Here is a 27,481-nt window from a genome sequence, read left to right on the forward strand (position 1 = left end):
GAAGTTATCTTTTCAGTAGGAGAAAGTGCAAGATCAAAAGAGAAGATACTTAGAGGAAGGCCGAACACACACGGTAGTTAATTCCCTATAGTTTGTTGTAAAACAATATCAAGTGTTTAGAAATGGTCATTTGACCTAATATGGCCAATGATGGGAGGCATGCTGAAAATTTCTGGGAAAGGATTCCTCACTCCTAAGAAAGAGATATTAAAAAAAGAGGTGGTCCTTCTTCCTCTGGACATCGTATGTCTAGATGGGACTGCCAGAACTGCTACAGCCATATCGCTATCAGCCCAAGGAGGCAGCCAAAACATGAAGAGGCATAGCTAAGAGATTGGCTGCGAAGTGGAGCTGGAACCCTGGTGTAGCCCACACAGAGCCATCACTTCTTGTTACATAAGTTTCAATATTGCTTAAGCCAGTGTTCTGTGACTTGCTGCCAAGACCATTTGCTATACAAAGTACAACTGTTTTGGTGTGTTCTTTCCACACTAGCCACAGTTGGTGCATTAAGCTTCAACCAGAACAGTGGATCAATACATTGTGTAATGGCCCCTCTTTTCCCCAGTCCTACCTATTTTCTATCGTATACCAAAGTGCTGTCACCCCCAAACAACCCCGCCAGACTGTATCTTTGCTTAAACACCTCTACAGGCTTCCGATTTCCCATAGGGGCAACTGTCTTCCATGGCAGACAAGGCCCTTATGCATTGAGCTTCACCTGCGATCCTGTCATCTCCCGCCACTCCATGCCCTGTACCTGGAACATGAGCCATTCTGGCCTTCCCTCTGTTTCCCAACACAGTAGCTGTTTGTGTCTCTTGGACCATTTGTGGAAGCATTGTGCTGTCTAAAATGCCCTTTCTCATCTATTCTATCTGCACAGAAAAGTAGACTTTTCCATCTATACTTGTCTCTGGGAAGCTGTTCCCTGACTTCTCTTTTCTGTGTGTTTCTTAGCGTTTGTGTCATATCATCTAGGACCTTTTTAAATATCTGTTTATATGCACCAGTCCTCCCCATTAGCCTGTGCACCTATGATGGTTAATTTTATGTGTCAACTTGACTGGGCTAAGGAATGCCCAGGTGGCTGGTAAAACATCATTTCTGGGTATCTCTGTGAGGGTGTTTCTGGGATAGATGAGCATTTCAATTAGTGGACTGAGTAAAGAAGATCTGCCCTCACCAATGTGGTCAGGCATCATCTAGACCACTGAGGGCCCTGACAGAACAAAAAGGCAGAGGGAAGACAAATTCGTTTCCCATTTGGCTCAGACATCCCTCTTCTACCCTCAGCATCTATGCTCCTGGTTCTTGGGCCTCTGGACTTGGACCAGGACTTACTTACGTCATTGGTTTACCTGGTTCTCCAGCTTGCAGATGGCAGATAGTGGGAATTCTTGGCCTCTACGATTAAGTGAGCCAATTCCATAAGTCGAACAAATTGATCACTTTTGATGGATGACAGATATAGATAGATAGATAGATAGATAGATAGATAGATAGATAGATAGATAGATAGACAGACAGAGATAGATATATCCCATTGGTTCTGTTTCTCTGGAGGACATTTACTAATACAGTGCCTCTTGAGACCACCTCTGTAGCCTCAGTTCTGGACTCATCCGTAATAGGAACTTAGTGTTCCTGGAACAAATAAACAAACGAATGAATAAATGAGTACAATCCAGGATTTCAGAAAGTCAGAAACAAATTCTATAACATCTGGAGTCCTTCTGCGAAGTGAGCAACTACTTCCCACACCTCTTGAGGGTATCACAGCTAACCAGTCCACTAATACTTTCAACCCACACAGTGATTTGTTCCGCCACCTTAAGCTATATTCCTGATTACTGCTAATCTAAAGAGCAGGATCACTCTGGTGGGCATGACATTTTTCTACTATGTTTTAAGTGTGAATGCTGACTTCCGGCCACAACAGAGTTATTTGCAATGTTTGCTTAACACAAGTGTGACATCGTGTTAAGAAGTCTAATTCAGAAGCATGTTATGTAATAATACCAAAACAATTATCTTATCTATTTTTAATTAACTGGCTCCTACATATATTTATTTATTGATCAGACACAAAGCACATATACATATTTTTAATATGAAGCATTTCCGAAGAAGAAAAATGTTGGTAGGAATTAAAATTTTGTCCTATTTTTACATAAAGTGGTATAAATAGTAACATTTATGCATGTAAGTATGAATGTATGTTAAAAGAGAGAAAATAAATCTGTATGGAAATATATAATAGGGAAGAACACAGATTAATGTATCCAGGCATTATATTGATGCAATTTTTATCAACGGGTTCGCATCAACTGCTTGCCAATAGGACACAAACCATGGCATCCCAGGTCTGCAAAGCCACACTGGTCGCCAGCAGTTTGAAAAGTTGGCTGTAAATGAAGGTTTTCTAAGTGGCTGCTTATGATGCCATGTTGGTGGCATTAGTGCCTGGGAAATACGAAGAGCTAAATGCTTCCTCTATTTCATTTTCTAAATTTCATAGCCTGATGGCAGTAGGCCTGCAGGCACTGTATTCTGAAAGGATTATTGCACTTCCTGAGAAGTTAAAGTCACTCAGCTTTTGCCCCCATGGCTTGGGACACCAACCGAGACATACTGCAATCACACAGCTGCAATAGACTGTCTCTCGTGGCTTACTGCTTAATGATATTCCAAACATTAGATCTCCCTTCTATTATGTAGCCTCTTTGCCACCAACTCCCTTTTGCTTCTTTTAAGCCTTTTTTCATTTTTGTATTTACCTTATTTATCTTACCTTCACACTTCCGTGACCTGATTACCCTTAGACATAATCATCTCCGGTTTTCCTTTATGTATCAGTGGCTGCCGCTTGATATTATGGTGTTATTTTAATATCATAATGGAAAATGATAAAGGCCAATCAATTACTTTGTATTATCCATTTTGTTCCATTGGGATTGATTTTCCTCTATGTAATCATGTTTGCAGCCATAAAAACAAAGATTAAAAAGGGTTTTCTCTCTATTTTTCATATTCAAAAGAGTCATATTAGTAACTCTGCTTCATAATGTTGCCGCTAAGAGAGCTAAAGCTCATCTAGAGAAACGGAGTCCCTGGGAGGTGGCTTGAGTGATGGACAGGACCCAGGGCTAGTTCTAGGACACTGGCCCACGCCTCAAGTATTTATTTTCCCTGCTGTTCTCTGGAAAAAATCTGGCATTACATTTATGATTTAATAAATGGCAATCCTGTGTCGGCTGCACATTTTTGCACATCAGAAGAGGTTCCCACATTGTCACTTTGCCTTCTCCTCACCAGATAAACTGCTGAAACTCTCCCACGTCAAATAACCTAGAAATGTACCGATAATGAATCTTTCCCAGTGCGGCTGTGCCATTCACTCACTTAAACTTCAGCTGCCTGCTGAGGCTCTCGGTCCTTGAGAATAAATATACATTAGATGCAAGCAGGGTACATACAAACGCCAAGAAATAATACAAAGCAGGGTGAACAGCTTGCAGGAGGAACCTGCGGAAGACTCCAGTCTCTCTACAGCAGGGAGAGTCTCTGAGTGGGGAATCAGCTTCAAAGAGATGAGCTACGGAGACTAAGTCCTCTAATCACTAGCTTTACATGCACTGAGATTGACAAGCTGGTGGGCAGCCCCAAATGGCAGCCCTAGGCATGATAGAGAACTTAGCTTCTCCACAGCCCAGCTCGGCTGCCAGAACTGTGCTCCCTGCAACTCCCATGGCCAAATGGGTAGACGAACTGTTTGTCTTTTGTTTGGTGTAAAAACCCATAGAGAAATCCAGCTTGTATGCAAGCTCTGCAATGCTAGGGTTTTATCTGACCTCACTTTTATTGCTCAAATGCTCCAGACTCTCTTTCCCTTCCTCTTGCTCAGCGATTGACCCTTTTCCTTGAAATAAGCAAATAGCATGTATTAAAAATCATTTCAGGCTATGGGGTCCTGGAGCCAGGGATGAGGATCAGAGTGTGTGACATCACACTCTGATGTCAGAGTGTGTTGACACCAACATTCTCCTGCAGTATGCAGACACATAAGGATGCTGGTGGAATTTCAGAGATTGTCTCCTGGAGCTGCTGTGTCCCCTGTGCAGCAATCTGGAGGCTCCCTGGTGCCTGGGTTCACCTGGGGAGCTCTGCTACCACTGGCCCCTGGTTCTCCCCTCTAGAGGCTCATGAGATTCAGTTCTCAGGGTCCTTGGCTCTGGAAATTGCTGCTTCTGTCAGTTACTACAGCTTAGACTCAGTGTACGTTAGGGTGTGTTAGGACATGGCATGAATATTATTTGCTCCTGTTCTTATGAAAATGTGTATAACTGAAAGGAGTTACCTTTACCTGTGTGTTTGGAAGGTGCTTCACAAAACTGTTCTGCCCAGCTCCCTCCCTATAGATTCTGAGTTACACTTACCACTTCCCAATTCTAGAGACTTTCTCTTTTGCAGCTGCCTCATCTAGGGGAGTCCCCCAGGGGCCACACTGTTGCCTGACAAGCAAATGAAGCCAGGAGGAAGCAAGAAAGGCCGCCACAAAGCCATCCCCTCTCGCAACAAAGCCCTAAGCTCCTGCTTGCTCATTTGATTAAAACAAAGTCTCCAACTGCCTCCCACAGCACCCTCCCTTGGAGAGTTCATGCTCAGAGCCACCGAGTAATTTTTATTGTATAACAAACAGTTGCTTAAATAGGTTGTCTGCAAATGGTCATTATATCCGCCTCCCCCTCCACCTGCCACAAATCTCCCATGGTGGGGGGCAGGCCCTGGCAGCTGTCCCCCTGCCCACCCACCCCTCAGCAGCCCTCATAAATAAGCTCCAGTATCAGCAGGACCAAGAGAGACCTGCAGTGGTAGGAGGGGCTGGACAACCTGGAACTTTGAAGGAAGAATTCCAAATGCTCTGTGGCACACTTAGCACTTTGAGAGAAGGGAGGCTGTGGGAACAGAGTCAGATTTCTTCTGCAGGGAAATTACTCAAATAGGTTTTAAAATTTATAGTCCGTGTTGTGATAATAAATAAAAATAAAATATACTCCCCCCAACTCAGAGTTTCTTTGGCTGCAGAAGTCCTCTGGGGTTGGCTCCCTCTACTGCTATGCTGTTTAGACAGAAAACTGGAGAGTAGTTTTCCCTGAAGCTGCTCCAAGGCTCCGGCTTCTATTCCCAGTTGAATTTGCATTCCACCGGCTTGATTCCTCCTAAAAGGCACCTTCCTTCTCTGCAGACTAGCGCTGACCACCCTGACCCCCTCCACACCTCCTGTTCACTCCCACTATGATTCCTTCTTTCCTTTGGTTTCTGTCCTGCTTGGCCAGAGAAGCCCCTCCCAAATCACGAGCAGCTTCACTAAGCCATTGACAGCACACACTGATGTCTAATAACAAAGCATTGCTCAACGATCCTCACCCTATCTACCCTGTTGGTCCCAACTCCAGTGCCACTGCCCCCCATTCCGGCTCACATCTGTCTGCTGCATAACCCAGAGAGGTGACATGCAGAATTAAATTTAAACATTCAAAATCTAGGGTTCCAATTGTGGGTGCAGTTACATAATTACAACACTTACCATATAATAGAATAACATTGTTTAGGGTAAGATTTTGGAGTTGCACTAATGGATGCTTTTTTCTGTTTTCTGTAAACAGTCTTGATATATTGAAGAGGAGACATTGTCAGTAATCACAGTACTTCTCAATGCATCTCGTGAATTGTGTCCAAATGTAAGAAAAGCAGACTAGTTTTGAAATATCAACATCTGCCCTAATTTACTTGCTTCTGCATTATGGTTCTAATTGCACTCAATATAACCTATTGTTGTTGGATCCCCTCGGGGTCTTGGAAAAACTAGCAAAAACAACGTGGAATAGATTCCATGTGTGAAATCTACAGGCAATTTTTTTCCTTCGCCTTTTATTAAGTTAGAATTTATAACACTCCATGGCCCATATGAAAAGCATTTCAACTGATATCGGTGAAATTATCTCCTAAAACTAATCTCTCACATAAAAATTGAACTGGATGAACTTTTCTTGTAAGCAGCTGACAGGTGAGGAATCTTCAGTGAGATAACTTCAGTTTTGGAATATTCTTACATTAAACATATCCTTTGGGCAAATAATTCAAGTCATTTATAAAAAGCATTTTAAAGGTGCATGTATCTGAAATCTTTTTTGCACCTACATTAAATTTCATGTAATCTAAATCAATGACCATTTGCAGGGCCCCTTTTCTAGGGCACAGCATTATACATATTCTGGGGTTATTTGCCACATCCTTATTATTTTATTCTTATGACAACACCCCAAGAGTATTCTTTTTAGAATATTTTAGAATATTCTTGGGGTGTTGTCATAAGAATAAAATAATAAGGATATCTCTGTAGGAACAAAAGCAGGTCTATTTCTCAAAACATATTTATCACTGGGGGGAAAATGACATACAATTATCTTCCTTAATAAGAATTAATGTCTGTATTAAGCACCTTATGCATTATCTGTTTTGACCTGCATAACAACGTTTTAAGTCTCATGACCCCCATTTTACAGATAAGGAAACTGAAAAGGTTAAGAATCATACTCAGCTGATACGTGGCAGAGGCAGAATTAAACAGAGGTTAGTCCACCTATCACAGAAGCATTATTACAACAGGAAGACCTAAAATTGGCTTTTGTTGTTGAAGACGGTTTTCAATGCAGGCAGAATTTAGTGACTGTAGAAGAGCTGATGTTTGAATATTGTTAGAGAAGACCCCAGAGGAAAAAGTTGGGTCTGCAAGGAAAGTAAACTTTTATGACCGTGTTGTTTCAGAAGACTTGGCAGCACTAGTTACTCTCACAACTGCATGTATTGCTCTGTTACTTAATCAGTATTATACAGTGCCACTTAATCCTTTTTATGGCTTAGCTTGTCTTGTAATGTCGTTGTACTGCTGATAAACCCATTCACAGGAATAATGTACCTTTAAAAAATCGACACCAGGCTCTGTTTTTAATGTAAGGACATGTCTATGTGGAAGTTTATTATGTCCCAGCATTTATGACAACACTGACATTAAAAACAGGGTTACCCGGTAAAGACTTAGGAAACATGAAACCATTTTTAAAACAACTAGTTATTACACTGTCCTCTGAGATTCTGATTACAGGGCATGAATCCTCTTGAACCATGGGTTAAAAGTACCCAGATCTAATTTTTATCATAATATATGTATTAAGTATGTAACAGCTAAAACCACAGTAAAAAATTTAAAAAGTAAAAAAGAGCACCTCAGTCCTGAAAACTTACACAGGTTTCTTTTTTCGACTCGTAAAGACAATATTTATGATAACCTTTTTTGTAAAAGCTTTTTCAGTCAAATATCCATTCAGCTAGCAGTTTTAATTTTGCTAAAATAAGCATGCTGAAATGGAAGAATTTTTAACATCACATCGGAGTGACAGCATCAGTCTGCTTCCTTTGAGAATCAATTAGCAGCCAAACAACTATACAGACTCTGTAATGACACAAGTCTGTGGTATTTCCCCAAATTACCTGGAGCAAGGTAAATGGCATGAGAGCTTTGGTCACCAGGGAAAGCATGAAAGGATATACCACACAAGCATGAAGTTATTTAGGAAAAATCTGCAGGAAAAAAAAAAAAAGTGTCTAAGGCTACACGGCAGCTGTTTCAAATAATAAAATATCATTTGCATCTCTGCAGAGGGTTTTAGTTTTTTCAGCTGGTTGTGTCCCACACATTTTTTCCTGAACTTGCTGCTCATTGTTTTCAGCTTAGCCAGTTACAATTAAACCATCAAGTAGGTACACTTGTTTGTTTCGGGTGTATAAGAGACAGTAAAGCTTCATTTCAAATAGAGATACCCAAGAGGAAAGGGTTAGAAAGTGCTGTGCAAAGCTGTGAAACACTGACTAGCAATTTAAACTGGAATCAGGCAATTCAATGTGAATAGGGAAAAAAAACAAAAACAAAAACCAAAAAACAAGCCCTCACATACACAGTGTGTGTGAAGGGGCTGAGGATGGCAGAAAAGGTTTTATTTTTAGAAGTCTTTGCTAAATTCTTTATAAGCATCTCAATCTTTGTTAAAAAGAAACAGCAGATACGCACATTTCCTTAGGGGAGCATTTTTTTTTTTCATATAAAATTTTAGTAGTTGGCTGCCTACAGTGAGGCTTTTTGTAACAGAATATACAAATTGTATTTTTTATGGTTCCTTATTTATAGTGAAACAACCATTTTAATAAAATGATTCACTTAGATTATTTTATTGCTTTTCATTACGGATCTTCATATTTCTTCATTTGTTCTCATCTTTCTCCTGGCTAAAATTAAAATATTTGACTCTGCAATTAATCACAAATGAATTTGATTTTGGAGTATTTTATTCTTTCCAAAAGATTTGCTAAAATATCTTTCTACAAATGTAGAAATCAAAATCAATACAAATCATTTGGCTGCTCGTAGAAGTCACTCCTGAGCTGAGTTAAACGTTACTTAGAGCAAACATCTAGCATTTATTTATGGGGCAGGGGAAAAGGCAAAGTAAACTTAGTATGAGAAAGAACAAACTGTCCTCTGTTTTTTCAAATTATACGCACAATATTGATACCTACCAAATGCAATTTTTTTTTCCACAATGGTACAGTGTTTTGTTTTGTTTTGTTTTGTTTTGTTGGAGGGACAGAGGTGGCTGTTGTTTTGTATTTAAAAATCATAATCTAAAGTCTATTCTACAAATGGCTTTTTCATGTGGAATGTGCCATAGTTTATCTTAAATCATGAAGAAGAAATATTGTATTCAACAATGTGACTACTGTTAAAGAAAATTCTCAGGATTGTGCATCTGGATTCCAGTAAATCCAGTTTAAAGCAATAGGGCTTGCATTTGTGGAGATGAGTATGGTAAAATGTATCGCATTATATGAATGCCTTTTACATGCCTCTTAGAAACCAAAGGGCATTTAGACAGCCAATTGGACATTTATGGTTCCCCAAAATAGATTGTATCAATACAAGGTAATGATTTCTCACCTTATTTCAATATGATCTAAATCAATGTTAAACAGAACTGATAGTATTAATGCAAAATTAATCTAAAATTTTAAATTAGGGATTTCATTTAAACACTGGAAAATCCAAGAGCAGTCTCTTTGTTTTGAATTTATCTTATTGCCAAAATATTCCATACATTGCTTTGACAATATTCAGTGCACCTAGAGATTTATAGATAAAATGAGAAATTTCAATTGGAAAATATGTGTAAAGATAAATGCTGCTTTTATTATTAATTCATATTCTCACAGAATGTTGCAGCTTAAAATGTAAAACTATGCACACACAAACACACACACACACACACACACACACACACAGGCCTCTCCTCTACTTAATTTCCTGAGTTAATGTTCCTTCTCGGAAAATATATACTTTGAATAAGATGAATTAAATATGTTGGTTAAATTTTAGAATGCAATAAAATGATTACATTAAAAATGACCATATTTAAGGGAAAAATAGCTAAGTTGGGCTAATTTATTATTATTACTCATTGCATTTAAAGAAACTTGGACTAGAGATCAAAGTGCATTTTGATTTGTTTGAAAATTGTAAATGACCCATTCCCAGTTCTCCAACCCCATAAAGTTAGAATGCAGTCTGTGAGTACTCTCTGCTCTAATCAAGAAGGAAGGGGCTTCAGCTTCAAATGTCAATGCTGTAAACATGTTAAATCTGGAAAATATTTTCTAAGCAAGCAACCATGTGTAAAATTTACCGAACTTGTCATGAAAGGGCTGCAGCTGCAAACCTGCAAACTTCTCACTTCCATGAAGACTCCAGATGCTGAGACAGGGAAGAGAGGTTTCAGCTTGGCTCCCCAGCTGTTGCACCTTAGAGCTTTGCATGCCGCCATCTTCTCAGCGTTTCACCAGGTAAGGAAGCAGTGGCCATTTAATACCAAGAAAGAAAATCTTGGGCTTACTTCAGAAGGTGCTCCATGTAATTTATTATAACACCAACCCAAACATTCAATAGTAAATTAAGGTTTGTAATCTGTCCAGCTGCCTTGCTAAAACAAGTTAGTTTAACAAAAGCTTCCAAAATACAGAGGGAAAATATAGGCTAATGATAAAAGTAAGCAATCGTCATATGCTACTGCCAAAGAGGATTCCCATTAAATTACGCTTATGCATCATTTTATGAAAACTTTTTACAAACCATGTTTGCTGCTTATAGCTAAAAACATCTTGGGATAAATTTGAAACTTTGCTTTACTACAGAAATATAAAATCTACTAGATATCATCATAAACAAAGAAAATTTGATGAATTTTTAAAAATTACTAACACTACTTTTAACACCACTAACATTATACATGATATTTACAATAGGCAATCTTCTTTTATAATGTGAAGTGTTTTTAAAATGAAATCTGCACCTAAATGCCAATATCCTCTCCTTCTGCCTTCTCACTTTATGACACTAACATAGGATCTCATTCACCAAGCCAATTGAAATTTTAATAAAAGAAAGCGGGAGTTTCTAATAAACTCCTGCAGTGAGCTGATAATACTAAACATCTTTAGCAGCATGGTGTTTTTTTATTATTATTTTAGCTGTATATTAATATGCTAGTATTTGTAAACTCCCCAGTGCCACTAGATTTATTTCAGAAGCCATCACTACATTCTTCTATTGTAAAAAGTTTATCTGACAAAGAAAAATTCTCTTTTGATGGTTCTCCACCCAACAGCTATTTGACAGGAAAATATACAACTGACAAATATATCGTGACTACGCATCTAGTCCTGAAAGAGCTCTAGCGACTGATTTCACTTATCGTGGTGCCAGTTCTAGGCTAGCCAGGAAAACCAGCATAATCCACAAAGGCAATAGAAGCATGATTTGGGCTTTTGTTGGGGATTTAGCACAACATACTGACCTATCCCTCTCACCATTATACCTCCTTGCTAGCTTTACCTTCTATTCCATCCCCTCAACACCCCTACCCTCTAGATCCCCACCCCAACTTTCCAACTAGAGGATCACCACTCCTCCCTAACAATAGGGACTGTGGCTGCATAGCTTTCATTTAAAAATAATACACAAGAATCCATGTTCACGATGTAGTTTGGAGTGTGCAATTCAAATAAACCCATAGGGGATATTCTTCTGTGGCCCTGGGTATGATGTGGGACTGCCACTGTCACTCGTCAATGAACTTCAACATACATTGTGTGTAATAAGCCTTAACATTTAGACAGTGTTTGTTATGCAGCAGGTGCTGTTCTAGGCACTTACACATGTGAAATGACTTGATCCTTGCTACAGCTCTGTGTGGCAGACACTATTATTATCCCCACTTTACGTATACTAAAACTATGATTCAGGAAAGTAACTTGCCAATGTCATACAGCTAGGAATGGCTGTACCGGATGCAAACTCAAGTTATCTAGCCAGAGTTGGGCTATTCATCACTCTGCCTCTGTAAACGTCGTTACATTAAGACTGAAACTGTCTGAGCAACTAGTCTTCATTGGGGCTGCTCCTCTGGAGGACACCCATTCCACTGCTTCTTCACCGCTTATGCTCTGAGTAAGCAGGACCCCTCAGGTTTTCTTAATCTTAAATTCAGCAAGCAAAGAAAACAAATTCTGTCATCTTTCATCCATACTACACCTTCAGTGTAATTTGGCAAAACGGTCAAGAAACATTTTTGTTGGTATTCTTGACACAAAGTTGAAAGGAAGGCAGGAACAACTCAAGCTGTGCTGGCCCTTCCGAAACTTTGTGAGATTTAGGACAAAGTTCAAAAGATGCTTGACTTGACAAGTAGGGGATTCTGACACACAACTTTTTAAAAGCACCCTTTCTCCCAGGCAGACAGAGCCAGGATACAAGGCTTGGTGAAAACACTGCCATTTGCAGTAAGCATCCTACAGATATATCACTATAACCATGATGAACCCTGTGGTCAGACCTGGAGAGCCCTGATGGCAAGAGTGCACATTTTAGGAAAGGAGAACTTTGCTTCTTCCAGAGCCCAGATACTGAATCAGTTCAACAAGGCAATGGCAGCAGCCAGGGCTGAAGTTGGGAGACAGTTTAAGCAGATGTACAAAAATGCATCAACACTGAAGAAAAAAATCACAAATTTACTTTATTCTCCAAATTTCCCATCTTCATCCTAAGTCCAAGTGTTGGTTTTGAGTAGGCAGCCATACAGGGCAGTACCATGCCATATCTCGAATTGCAGCTTAGATGTGCTGACATTAGATTACTATCCAATATAGCTCACAATATTCAGTCACATATTGTCCACTGGTGTTTGGGAACTGCTTTCGATAGGCAGACCACTAGAAGCTATAGGCACATTTGAGAAAAAAAAAAAAAAAGTAGCATTTGGTGATAGAAATACCATATATCTTTGTTTAGAAGTAGTGGCTTCTATTAAATTTAATTACTTCCCCTGTGGCTTTAAATCAAGGGCAGCTTCTGTTAAATTTAATTACTTTCCCCTGCGGTTTACATGGCAAAGGTGTCATTACTACTTTCGGAGTGCTTCTGGCCAAAGTGAAAGCTTGGATATGATTTGCTCCATTATACCAAAGCCTTCCTTCATAATTTTACCTTTTCCCTCTATCCAATAACACATTTATATGGACATTTTATTCATGAAACCTGCCCTCAGTATCTTAAAAATTATTCAGTTAGTAGCATGTGATTGACAGTTGAAATCTGAAGAAAAAAAGCAATGTTGATAAATTTCAACACAAAGATACTCTGGATTTATTTCACAGTTTCACTGTACAGATGTTTATGTAGCACACCAGCACTTTAAAGGTATTATTATGCATATTCTACATAAAGGTGCACTTTCTTAAATTTTCTGAATGAGGTAGTTTATTATCACTTTTATTTTATTAGTTCCGTGCCAAGCTAACAATTTTTACTACTAATTATGTTGACACCAATTCCAATGGCTCTTCTGCCCCCAACTGTCAAAGTTCACATTTAAGTGTAGCTACCTAACAACGTTGCCCTTTATTGATTTGTCATTGGAATATATTCACAGAAGTGAATTCCTAAAAGTTTGCTTCTCTCAAGATGAAATGGATCTTCATTAACATTCTGAAAATGAAATGCAGCTTCATAAAAAAAAAAAGGCAGCTTTCAGACCATTTTAGAATTTCAGAGGAATTTTGCATTATCTTTCCCATGATTCTATGCTGATGTCAGGCTGTATTTCAACTGAAATGACAATGAAATCATTTCAATTCCATGCAATGTGCAAAAAAACAGTCAATTTTTCACTTGGCAAGCTGAAGTCTAAAGTAATTAAGCACTGCTGTGTGGGAGGCAGCTTCCTGCTCTGAAGTCAGCCTGAGATAATTACCATATTAAAGTCAAAACATCATGTGCCGTGCTGATAGATAGATGGATGGAGAGATTGGGCATCTATTAAATGATCCATTTTGTTATGCTTCCTGGGAAATGTGCCATTGATGCCAATTAAGAAATATATATTCCAAGTGAGTATTTCTAAGTGGAAAAACTTCTATCTGGTAAATTGAATTTATTATTTACTGATCATGAAGTACTTAAAGTCATAAAATCTAGATAGAGAGCAACCTATGAGGAGAATTACATGCTCTGTCTTGGTTTACAAACCCCTCATTACCTAATTGCCATGTTAGCATAAAGTTCTTCATAACATTTCTAGCCAAGGTACTAAGTTATTTCTGTCATGAAAACTCTAGTTGGAATAATAATGTGATATTGCAGATAAAATGTAAACATTCAGAAATTTCAAAGTCACAAACAGGTGAAGTGAAAAAAATTATTTTTTATGTTTAAAGGAAAGGTAAATAAAATATACTTCAAAGAATCTTTCTTAGATATGAAAAAGGAAATAATCCTCCAAATATCGAAGTTGGATAAGTAATTTAACAACACAGTTTGGTTCAATGCACTGCGGCAAGATGAAGTTGTGTTAAAAAAATTCCTAGCAACATCATTTATTAAAAGTTAATAATTTATTAATATTCTTTTTCTAGTCACCAAACATATGGTATTATTTAGGCTTTTATAAAGATAGCTGGTTAGGAATAAACTAATGAAACAATCTGGTCTGTGATTTAAGTAGAACAGTTTATTTTAGCATAAATATTAGTGAAAAAATAACATATTGGCTTCGTGAAAGAAGAGGGCATCTCCAAGTCAGGTTGGTTTTTTTTGTTTTTTTTTTTTGTTTTTTTTTTTGACTGAAGAAGAATAGGCACCCCTATGTCTGCAGTGAAGCTTATGTTTGATTTTCTCTAACTATTTTCTGTGGGATTTATTCACCACTATTTCCACTAACTTACTGATACCATAAAAGATGGGGAACTAAGTAATATCTCTTTAAAATCAGAGACAAGAGCTTCTGAGGATCAAAACTAATATTTTTATGTTGACAAAAAAAGTAGATTTTAAAATACAAAAATCTTCACTTATAAAGATTAAATATAATTAGTTTCTCAAGGAGGTAATCTAGAGAATCAATAGGCTGCCTTAATATCATATTCCATCCATGCCCTCTGGCACATCACTTGATCCAGGGTCCCAGTGGGTCAGGCAGTCATTTGAGCCTGGCTGGCATTGCTAAATTCCAGATTGTCCTGACAGACAGTCTCAGTCAGGCCTTTGGTTGTGTGTATGTTTCAAGAGAAATCACAAAATGAGTGCAATTTTAAATTACCTTGTGTGGGAGAAAAGGGAAAATAGCGCTTGTCTCTGTGACCTGGGATTGAACAGAGACGTTCACTATCCGACTTACTGTGATCCCTTTTCCATTTCTAGCAACACCATTTTCTAGTAGATGGACAGAGAAATAGAGAAAAAGTAATCATAATGGAGAGTAGGAAGGAAGAAATATTTTCTTTGATATGCTGTATGATATAGATACAGATACACACACATGCACGCGCACACACACACATACACACAGTAAAAGCTTTCCATTTTAAGCCCAAGGGAAAACCATCTAAACTAGTTAAAAATGGAAATTAATACTTTTGGTTTATTTTGTTCTTCACAGGAGTTAATACTTCCTAGTGGTGGACCACGAAATTTTATTTTGGTCCTACTTGCTTAATATTTTCAAAAATGAAAATATACTGCTTTCATAGTTGGAAAAATAAACTCCAACTTTAAAGCATTTATAAAAATTCAGTAAGAAATATTTAGTCATTTTATAATATATTCCCAAACAAAATGAAGATGGGAGGCCTTGGGGCGGGGAAGACTGCTTTGTAATGGCTGGTCCTGATTAGAAAAGAGAAGGAGGCATGCAAAAAAGTCTCATCAGTGGTAGCCAGCCTTCCGGAGTGTGAAGCCAGCCCAGACCATCTGAAGAGGGCTAATAATCTCAACTCCGTGGTGTATTTGGTCACTTGTGTTCCATTCTGTAGACAAAAATCAGCAACTGGATTTAGAATCGACTACACGGTAGGAATTTGGTTTGATGACTGGAGCTCTGGTCTGGGAGCAAGAAGATCTAGTTTTCTGTTTCTGCCTGTGTCACTGACTTACTTCGTGAATTGGTACAGTTTAGAATTTCATTATTTCCTTTTTCTCCATCTGTAAAATGGAGGCAGTAATATGCCCAGCAGGACCCTTTAGCAAAGCAGAAGAATTAGCAAATAGTCGGAGAAGACTACTGTACATTCAGAGCATGATTACTTTGGGGAGAATTTCAGTTCTTCATTGTGAATGTTACTATCATTTTCAGCTGCCCAAATCCAGGTGCCATTTAGAGAATTCAACTTCAAACATTGCATTTATTTTCTGCCCTGTAAATGTCCATGGTTTTGAGGGTTTTCTCACTATATTAACTGCAACAGTGAAATTAGATTGTTCAGCCTCAGTTTATAGTCCATTTCATTCTTTAATTCCTGTGTTCAGAGATGATGAGTTTTGGTTTGCACTCACAGTGTTTCAGAAAAATAACATAAAATGGGCTTTCCTTTGAAACATTTAAACTTCATAAAAAATCTGGCTTTACCTATTGCACTGGAATATTGTGGATATAAACAGCATAATAATATATGTGAAAACTGTTTAAGCTTTTCTACGAGCCTCCCCAACTCTCATCCCCACCCCCAACACATTTTGTATAACTAAAACTGACTTTAAGTTACCTGCCAATGTCTATTTTGATATATTTTGATTACGCATTGGAGAGCACATTTTTAAGACAGTTCTCCTAACATGCCAAGAAATGAAATAGATTAATTTTATCTCAAACTCCTAAATCAAATAAACAAGACATCAATGCATGTAACCTTTCATTCACACTTCATCCACCACCTCATTCTTTACTCTCTTGCAATTCACCCATGGTAATCTTCCTTCTCTCAACAAATGTCATATTCAGTAACTCAATCATACATCTTAATCAAAAGCAATAAGTGTAGCACCCGACATGAAAGAACACCTACATAAACATAGTCTTTTGTGCCTTCAAGTCTCTCTCATACTGACACCGTTAACACAAGACAGCACTTCTCATCACTGGAAACACACCCCTGAATTTATTAAGTGCTCAACACTTTTTCTGGAAATGTTGGAACGACAGCTAGCAGCGGTGTCATCTGATTTTAAAGCAGACTGGCACTATAAAAGTTTAGATTTCAGAATTAAGAGGAGATAAGAGAGTGCTTCTTTTATTACTAAAATATTCCCCCCAAGTTACTAGACCAATTACCTGACCCTTAAATATTATTTTTATGTGTAATTTGTCTAATTACTCCTGGCAACTAAGGCAATAAAATGGACTCTCTTCTATCTTCAAATTTCAAACCAAGGCAAAGAAACTAGATTTTCTGATGGGATGTGCTAATGGATCTTTATCCAATGGAGTTTCCTGTCATTTTCAACAATGTCATCATCACCTTGGAGAGTTTGATCACTTTCACCATGTGCCTGGCTAGAGTAAGAAATACAACCATTCTCTTCTCTCTTATATTTTTACAACTTCATTTGCTTCCTAATATTGTACTAATATTACCCTGGTTTGACCTTAATATTTAAGAGGGTACTGATAGAGGAATGAAGACTAACATTTCTTGAGCCCCTAGTACAAAGCAGACACATTGCTAGATGCCTTCACATAGTTTATGTCAATTAATTCTCACAACTCTGTTAGACCAGTATTATTTGTCTCCATTTTTACAATGAAGAAAACTGAGACTCAGAGTTAAGCAAGCTACATCACAAACTAGAAAATGAGAGTGCCAGGCTGAATTATGTATAGTGGGCTCTCAGTAAATATTTGTTAACGAACATAATGAATACATATCTAAATATGCTCTACTCGATGCCAGGCTGAGATTCTCTAAGTATAGGATTTAGAAGAACAGGATTTTAAACTCTAAGCTGCTCAGGACTATGTGTTTTAGTTTCAGCCCACACTCTCACACCAAATTATCTTCCATAAGCTAAAAGTTGGATACTATTTACCCCCATTGTACAGATGAGGAAATTGAGATTAAGAGAAATTATGTTCATATAGCTAGTAAATGTCAGTACCAGTGTCATACTTAGACTACCTCTTAGACTCATATGTGAAAACGTATGAGGAAAAATAGACAGAATACCATTAAACAATAACTCTACCATTGGAAAGAAAAGTAATGTTTGAAATGACTTTGTATAATTTTTTCTAGTCTGTGTCTCTCATGGTGGTGACTATTGACTTGAGCATACATACTGAATGCAAGGCCAGACGATTGGGGTTCCAGTCCTGGATGTGCCACTTATTACCCCGACTCAGTTTTCTTCTATAAGAAATGGGGATTAAATGATCTACCTTCATTTTGGCTTACCAATGAATTTCTTGCAACAGTACCTGGAATATAGCAAGTCCTCAACAAGTATTTGATGAAGAAATAAATGAGATGATACCTCACAGGCAGTTACATAAAAGTGCTTGATATGTGTGAAGTTCTGAGTAGATTTGAGGAATGGTAACTGTAATTCTCTAGGCTCTGAGAATTACACCTCCACCCCCATTTATAGAAAGAAGCTGCCTTTTTAAGTTGCTTAACGCTGTACATTTGTGTAATTTATCTATTAATAGTTCATTTGGGTTGATTTTACACTAGTCCTTGCTACACTTTAATAGGGGTCAGCAAATTTTTTCTGTAAAGGGCCAGACAAATATTTCAGTCTTGTGGTTCATACAGTCTCTGTCAAAACTACTGAAGTCTGCTGTTGTTGCACAAAATTAGCCAGACAATACGTAAGTGAATGAGCTTTGCTGTGTGCCAGCAAAACTTTACAAATGGCGGGCAGATCTTGCCCACAGGCTGCATAGTTTTCCAAGACCTGATCTAGTATGCAAATGACCACCAGAGACTGGCATATCTTCATAGTCATTATGTTATTTCAAGTGCTTTGTACATAGTAACTGCATGATGCTACTTTGCTGAACTGAAAGAATTTTTTTAGTTGTGCTAGGTGCTATACTATGCATCCTAGAGAACAGAAAGCAAAAGAAGATGGTGGCCTCAATAGCGTACCCGTTTGAGAACAGTTTACCAAGCAACACACCCAGGAGGGCTAATTGGTCCACTGTGGTCTGTTGATAGTGCTAACACCTGGCAATAGAAAGTGTTATAACAGAATATTCCTTCTGGCTTTGTGGGCACATTCCTTAATGTACAGCATATTTAAGTTTCTGCCATAATGAAGTATGAGCTATAATATCACACCAATGACAAAATGAAAAGAAAGATACATGAGTGATCCTTGTCAAGTCAATTATATCAAGAAAAGCTTTTATCAGGAGCTGGTTTTCAAGAGACAGCAAAACAGTAGAGGTGGAGAGAAAAAAAAAGGCATCCCAGGTGGGATGAAAAACACATACAAAGCCATGGAACAAAGCAAATAAAAGACAAGTTGATTAGCTCACATGAAACAATCATGTTAGTGAATAACAAGAAACAATATCAAAGATTTGCACAAAACCTTGTTCACTTAGTCTGTCCTTTTGTTGTACAAATTATTAACTAGAGAACAGGAATTGTAGTGTGACCAAAAGTTCTCAAAAATGATTCCCATGGAAAGATATGATTTGAGGAAATGACTCTAACTATGTACCTCTGCCAGAAATGAATTTTATTATGCAACAGGTAGTAGATTAATAGCAATGAATGAGTTAAACTCATAAAGAACATTCATGTTGTTAAACAATAGCTTTAGCCAACCAAAATTACTTAAGTAAAATTATGGGTAAGGAGAGGAATAGCCCAAGTATAAGACCCAAGCACAACAAGGATTTCCTAGACCTGCCAGCAATGCTGAATTACTTGTCTTCTGTAGTCCACACTGGCCGGTCCCATGGCTTTCCCTTGTACAGTCTTGAACTGACAGTACTTGCAACAGGCAACATCTATCAAAATGCAGCTGGCTTCAGTAGGCAGGTAAAGTTCAGTAGCCAAATCTCTTTTCTTATTTTTCCTTTCATTGAAAGAAAAGTTCATTTTACAGCAAATGGGAAAATAGCAAACCCACATGCTGCCTACTTGGAAAAGCCTCCTGTTTGCACTGGGGTTAGAGTTTTGCCCTTTCCTCATGAAAAGATATTCTCACTGCTGGGAATACTCAAATGTCTCTCAGTTCAAGGTAATACATAGGGCTCAGAGATGGGGACTCTCTTTACCATTCATCCCTGAAAAACCAGTGTTATTTAGGGTAGGAGGTGGGAAGAGACCTTGGTTCACAAATTCATTTAAGAATTTATTAGTTAAAAGAGAACTTTGGTTCCTGGGGACTGCCTTATGAAATACACCTTTCGTTTTTCTAGCAACCCAAGTTGGCTGTATTTCTAGTTTTGTGGAGTCTCTGACTTTGGCTAATTCAAACGATAAAATGAAGACAGGCTGTATCTGTTGAAATTAAAATCCAAAAACAAAGCAAAGAAACAAAAACAAATGGACGATAGCAAGCCATAGAATTTTATATGGCAATGAATTATCTCCAAGATTCTCTGTGCTGCCATAATCTACCACAAATACTGCAGCTTTAAAAACCAAAATAACCCATTATCTAGAAGGCTTGAACAAGTAGATTGAAAACACTTCTCAGACTGGCATTAATTACAATTAGTAAATTGCTTCATTTCTTCAAAAACACCACCCTTTTACTGGAAGTCTGTGATGGAATTTCTTTTTGATGGGAAACAGAGAAGCAAGTGCTTCAACTGGGCAAGGGCATTGGGTCTCTCATCTCTTATACAAGATCTGCAGCGTGCATTCTTGAAGACAGAGTGACATCTAAAGGGATTTTGAAATAGCCAGGGCTGCTATATGGCAGCCAAACTGACAAAGTCAAGGACATGTCATATTTTGGAAAACTGATGAGTTTTCAGGTTTCCTGTGCTTGATTGTCCCAAGTAACCATGAAAAGAGGATCAAATTCCGATTTTAATGACATGCCTCAGGGTGCCCTCAGGACAACTGCCATTTTTATCTTAGATCCTGCAGGTCCTCAGTGAACAAAAGGGGGGAAAATCAGCTTTGAATAGATTCCTTATGCTCTTGTCAAAAGTAATCCAACTCTGAATATCTATATCCCAAAATATCATCATGCGGGCAGCTTTTATTAACCTGAAGAATTAATAGAGCAGAATATTTAAAATGGGGTTTCAGTTATTGATTCTCCAATTAGATCTTGTGTTCCCTAGGTGCTGTGTATAATAATGGTTTTTGCTCAGCCTCCTGCACCCGCTAGCTCGCTCTTGCTCTCTCTCTTTCTCTCGGTGTCTCTCCGTTTCTCATAAGCATGCATGCTTTGAATACACATGTGGTGCATAATGACCAGATTTGGGAGGCAAGGCTGCATTTGTGGATTCTGATTATGCTTTTGAAAAATATCCTCAGTCCCCAAATTTAGTCTTTTCCAAGCTTATAATCCCCATTCTCTTTCATTCTGCACAAAATAATTTTTATTTTGGAGTTGACTATCATAATATGTGGCAGCTTAGCCAGAGAGCAGGGCCTGTGTGCTTGTTAACAGCACCCTGATGTTAACAATGAACTAATTACTTTTACTACTGATGTGCTCTGGGGCATTATTTTCTTTCTGTACGCTTTCCTACTGAACTATTGTCATTACTCAATCAGAGAGGACTGAGGAAAGCAAAAGCGAAAAAAAAGAAAAAAAGCAAACGCATTTTCCTCCACAGGGCTGAAGCCAGAGTCCCATATCCTAGGTCTTGTTTTTCTCCGTTTTCTTTAATTGTGCATTCCTTGGGAGGTGGGTATCCTTCTGATGCATTTTTACTTATTTATGAAAAATAGTATAAAATCATGAAAGCCTCCTGGGATACTCTATCACATTTATAACCATGATGCCCCAGTGAACTGCTTAAGCACGGATCAGCTGCAGACCGAGAAGTTAACTCTTTCTTCTTTACAGAAGCTGAGTCAAAGTGGTAAAACAGTTTGTGGTGTATTCCCTTTTCAGTAAAAGCGCCTCTGGAAAAGAGAGGTATGCACATTTCTCCATTTGCACAATAGTATTTCTAGTTTTATCAGAGTTGGGGGGCACGAAAGGGAGGGGAGCAATAAGAAAGGACCACATTAGCCCAGAGAAAGCTATGATAAAAGAACATTTACGGTGGGATATCATTTGCAGCAAAAGTGTTATTTTGCCTGGAGATAGAATTTGTTCACGCAACTGATTTTCTTTGATTGTTTTCATATAAAACACCCACCCTAGAACCATTCACACATCTACTCAAACAACAATATTTCACTTTCATGTCAAAAGAAGTTGGCATAGAAAATTCAGAACAAAACACGGAACCTGAGGCATTGAAACGATAAATAATGACAGGACCTTTCAGCTAGTCTTAATAAAGGAGATTAAAGCAACATGTAACATAAGATGTATGTTAATAAAACAAGTGGTGAAAAATAATGAATTGACTCCCCTAATAATAGACACATATCTTTACATTTCCATTAGTCTTTTGCCCATGCTGTCTTTTTTTTCAACACTTACAAATATATTATAACCATAGAAAAATGTTGATTATCAAGCCAGAGTGTTCTTGAAAATATGACTATCTGGGTTGCTGTTTTAAAATAAGTTATCTTTCTCATACAGCAACTTTTCATTGAAAGCTGCTCAATCAGAGCAAGAATCAATCATTGTATGTTCAGATGCTGCTCAGTTTCCCAGAGCTGTCAGTGCCCACAATCTGCCTCAGAGGGCTGGAATTCTGATAAGAAATGAGAAATGTAAAGGCCAGAAATAATAATAATCATCATCATCTTTATTAGTTCACCAGGGTTTAGGACCAGAAAGAAATCGGCTTCCTATTATTAATGCAGTTTGAACTTCATTGCTAAAATATTTCTTTAAGTGTGAGTCAGATACTCATTTTGATTCTTTTGTTCCTCCAATAGTTGTTTTCACACCAAGATGTTGCACGTTTAGCTGTTTTTCCTATAGAAGAGAAACTATGCTAATAGAATAGGTCTTTGTTCCTGGTGTTTCTTTCCGCGAGTTGACAACAGCAACGTGAAAAGAAACAGTAGAAGTGGGGAAGCAGAGGGATGGCATCCTTCGGCTAGTATGCTGTATTCTCTTCACCATACCACTTGTAAGTCTGGTTTAGTTCTTGTTCTGGTGTAAAACTGTAATTTTATGTTGCAATATCAGAATTTTATGAAGTTGTTTCTTTTTTTTAAAAGTAAACATCTTGAAGGTAGGACTTATAAATGAACACAGCAGTAAGCAATGAAAATTGTATCAGAATAAATCTAACAAGGATTATGCTAAACTATAATATTTAGGCATCTTGCAATAGGTTTAGCTAGAATCATAAAAGCAAAATGTGGTCAGTGCATAGATCTAGTGAAAGAACAAAAACCCTGAACTATCTCAAAATTTAAAAGAAAACCATTACTAAAAATATGTTGACTTTGCATTTTTAAGAGGTAAAAAGCCTATGATTAGAAAGCAGACAATTTAAGGATTCTATAGTATATTTCAGCAAGAGAGGGAGAGGGAGACAGGAGTGAGAGCAAGAGTATTTGGGAGGGTGAGGCTTTCAATTCTTCCCAAATTACAATTTTATTATTTAGCCAGACCTCTGTGGATTTTTGCCTCTGTTGAATAGTTGATAGACCTGATTTAGACGTAAATTTTTTCACTTGGTAACAAGTAAATTAGGTTTGGTCAATGCAAAAATATTTGAATATTTTTTTTAAAGATTTTCTCAGGAGTTTCTTTACAAGTGTTTGTGAATTATTCAGCCTCAAGTCTGGACTTTCTATTTATGAAATAGAGGCTTTTGTTAATATTAAAATAATCAATAATCTAAAATATTCCCATGTATCACATATAATAATTTTTAAATTGTTTGTGATTCAGGAAAAATTGGTGTAGAGCCCAAAATTAAGAGAAGAGCTAAGTAATTATCTAAATAGGCTTAGATCTGTGAGCCTTACATGGCCAAGAGCAGTGTCCTATGCACTATTTTCTCCTCAATAGGATAATGGTTGTTAATAATGAGTAAAAGATAGTATACAAGGAGGGTGTTTTGAACAATCTGAAATCAGTTTAAGTTCTCACAAAAGGAATGATCCAGACATTGATCAATTCCATGCCAGCCATTCCCACATATTCATCTACATCCTGAAGAGAAATATGAGATGTAATTACAATGTTGGCTGAGCTTAGCTGAAACTGTTGCTATCGGGAATAGCCAACAACTTCCACTCCTTATTGTACAAAACCCTCAACCCCTAAAAGGAGGGTGTCTTTTTCTAGTTCTCATTTTAACTTGAAAAATCACATCTCAGGAAACTTAATATTGCTTTTTAAGTGTAAGAACAATTAAGATGATATATAATATATTCAGCTCATAACAAAGTTATCATTGAGACAGCTTCCAAGATATGAAAATATATCTCGTAAAGCTTAAACTTGGTTTTGTCAGAAAACCAGTATTAAAAATAGCAAGCTGATTATGTAACTTCCGGGAGGGGAAAGTGAGGCATTTGCAAACAAATGAATGAAGGAAAAAAATAAATCTAAATACCATTTTCATGAATTTATAAAGAAATGAGTTACACCAGAATAAAAGTCTAAGTTTCTAGCTAATGAGTAATCAAAAATAAAATAAAATAAAATAAGCTTTTTTAAAAAAATTAGTGAAGCATGCAAGTTATTGATAAATACTGTACTTGGAATTCCCTAGCACCTTCTCCTGAAGAATCACTCTGGACTACTTTATTTCTTGTCATGGTATTGAATTAATAAGAGCCATTTTCCTTGGCACAGTTTTATAGAATAACGAAGCTGAAGAATATATTTAATTCTCCCAATTATCTTAACATCAAGTCGGCCCTTTAATTCTCTTCTTTCTTTTTTAGACCTCAAAGCACCACTTAGCATATAAAACACAGTAGGTGTTTTCTAAGTGCCAATTAAATAAGGAAACAGTTTAATAACTAACTGTGTAAGCAAAGGTATGCTTAAAAAAAGAGTTCTCGAAGCACATTTCAAACTTATGTTTTAATTGTTATTTTAAATATAGACACCACTAGCTGTCAGAAGATGATCCTGGATTGGCCAATGTGTTTATTTTCAATACTAGCTGACCATTACCATGTGACAGGTGTACAGATTCAAGGACAAATATAACACAGCTCTAGCCCTCAAGAAAGTCACAGTCTAGTGGAGTATGAGACAAAGTTTCTACAATTATTAAATGGGTGATAAATGTAAAAATAGAAACAGCCCCAGGATAGTAGCTCCAAGGAAGAGTATCAGCAGGATGGGGTGGGAAGCAATTCAGAGGCAACTTCCAGGAAAAGGTCATCCAGGCAAAGAGGGAAGGGGAAGGATATAGAAAGTGATTCCAGGAAGAGAGGGGTGTGTCGGGGACCCCCAAGACTACCTCCAGATTTGATGTTTTACCACAAGGACTTACAGGACTTACCATATATTCACAGCTATGATTCATTACAGTGCCAGGACACAAAGCAAAATCAGCAAAGGGAAGAGCCACATGAGGCAAAGTCCAGGAGAAATCACAACAAACTTCTAAGAGTCCACTCTCAACTAAGTCACACAGGACTTGCTTAATTAAAACGAGTTGTGAAGACACATGAATAGTTGCCAACCAGGGAAGCTTGTTAGGTACTCCAGGATTTTTACTGGGGGGCTAGTCACATAGGCATCTTTTCCTAACATGTACCAAAATTCCCAACTCTCAGAAGGAGAACAAGTGTTTAGCATAAACCATATTTTAGCACAGTGTAGTCATTCTTACCAGTCCTAGGAATGGTTGGAACTGAAAACCTTCTGACATCCAAGTTTTCAGATCATAGCCAAGGGACAATCTTGTAAGCAGGACTTTCAAAAGACAGCAGTTAGGCCTGCTATGTCAACTCTTTTCTGCATAAGGGTTAACATGAATAACCTCGAATAAGCAAAACACAGCTAGAGGCATGATAGGTAGGATGACCTTATTTTCCAAACTGGCACACTTGAGAGCAAAAGGAGGATCAATTAACTATTATGCCAGGATGAGAGGTGTAAACCAGAAATGTCCAGGGTATGAACATATGGCTGTGGTAAAATATGAGACAACAGTTTGGTGCTGCTGGTGTTTGGTGTTGCATGAGTTGGGTAAGGCTCAGGAGCTGGTTGAGGCTAGATGATGGAAGGCTTTGCATTTAAGAAGTTTGGGCTTTATACATGGATGGTGAAGAGCTCATGAACAGTTTTAAATAGGAAAGAGACAAGGTCAACAGTTATCTGGAAAATCTAATATTTTCCATTGATGAGGATCTCAGAAAGGAAACTGCTTCTCTGCTCCCATCATGTACCATGGCCATATAATGTTGTGATAAAGAGCATAGACCAAAACTCCTACATTCTCATCCTAGCCCTGTCACCTACTAGCTATGTGACTTTGGAAAAGTTCATCTCCTGTGCTTCAATTTTCTAATTTCTAAACATGAGTAATAATAGCAGCTTCATGGGATTTTATGTAAAAATTAGATGTGCTATCCATATTTTATTGAATCAAAGGCACTATCAGCTATAAGATATATCAGAAAAAAGAAAAAGACTACCAATAAAATTATGACTCAGTGCTTTCTCATGACTTAACATTTTCATTTTGGCTATGATTTAGTCATGGCTTTTCTCCTATATTACTATGATACATACATAAAAAGCAAAATATAAATGAAATTAATCAGTTATTGCTTTGAAATAAAATATTAAATTATGATCATTCTTCCTATAACATTTGCTTCACTAATGTTAAATGTTGCTGTCTTTTCTTGCCATTCTTAATATACATTCTTGTATGGTTTCAGTGCTTAATCATAATGTAGTTATTTTACAATATCTTATTACTTAAATGATGACAGTATAAACAGCCATAACCAGCTTTATGCATCCACAGGCAATGATGACTATGCCATGACTTCTGCCTGGCTGACAACAATGATAAGATGTCATATTTTATAGGACATATTCCATTTTCAGAGATGTTAAAATATAAAAACAAATGTGCATTTTCAAATAAATGAGAATAGAATAAGAAGTAGATTTAATGTGAACCTAATGAAGAGAGAGCCTCATGGCCTCTCAATTGCATAGGCCCTTTCCAAAGCCCTGTGAGTAGTAGTATACTCACAGTCATGCAGTTGTGAAAATTTCTATTTTAAGAAGCTAGAAAAATAAGAGCAAATTAAACTAAAAGTAAGAAGAAATAATACAATAAGAAAAAAAAAATCAGGGAATTAGAAAGTAGATAAACCACAGGGAGAAAACAACAAAGTCAATCACTGGTTCTTTGAAAAGATTTACAAAAAGACTGATTTTAAAAATGAAAGAAAATGCAAATCACTAATATTGAGCATGAAAAATGGAATATCACTCAACAAATATTTTAGAAGATAATGAGGGGATACTATGAGTAACTTTAGCCACCATGGAAAAAGTCCTTGAAAGATACAACTTACCAAAACTGACATAGAAATAAATAGAAAGTGTATGTAGCCCTATATCTACATGATAGACAGAATCTAACAATTATCTAACAATTATCCCCACCTCCCACTATTCATGCCTTTAAGAAATTCCCTCCCCTTGAGAGTAGGTGGGACCTGTGACTTTCTTTAATAATAATATAAGGCAGTGATGGGATGTCACTTTCATGATTATGTTACACATGATTGTAACCTCCTTCTTGCTAGCAGACCCTCTCTATAGACCCTCTCCTTTGCTGGCTCTGATGAAGTTGCCCTGTAGAGATGTTCACATGAGAGGGGACTGAAGGCACCTCCAGCCAACAGTCAGCAGGGAAAAGAGTCCCATATTCCCAAAGGGTACTGGATCCCATCAATAACCAGGTGAGCTTGGAAGCTAATCTTTCCCCAG

The 27,481-nt window shown here is 37.5% G+C and overlaps 1 long non-coding RNA gene across 1 annotated transcript in view, besides 1 other annotated feature; it reads right to left on the reverse strand.

The window, feature by feature from the left end:
- LINC01725 (long intergenic non-protein coding RNA 1725) overlaps window positions 1-27,481 on the reverse strand; it is a 285,210-nt gene that overhangs the window by 180,985 nt on the left and 76,744 nt on the right. The gene's annotated exons all lie outside the window — the stretch shown is intronic.
- Window positions 4,130-4,279: an enhancer, noted in NCBI's record as "active region_1245". NCBI's record gives its function as "activates an Ori minimal core promoter by ATAC-STARR-seq in GM12878 lymphoblastoid cells {active_cell/tissue: GM12878}" and the evidence as "EXISTENCE:reporter gene assay evidence [ECO:0000049][PMID:35858748]".

The sequence above is a fragment of the Homo sapiens genome, chromosome 1 (genome assembly GCF_000001405.40).
Source record: "Homo sapiens chromosome 1, GRCh38.p14 Primary Assembly".
NCBI classification, from domain to species: Eukaryota; Metazoa; Chordata; class Mammalia; order Primates; family Hominidae; genus Homo; species Homo sapiens.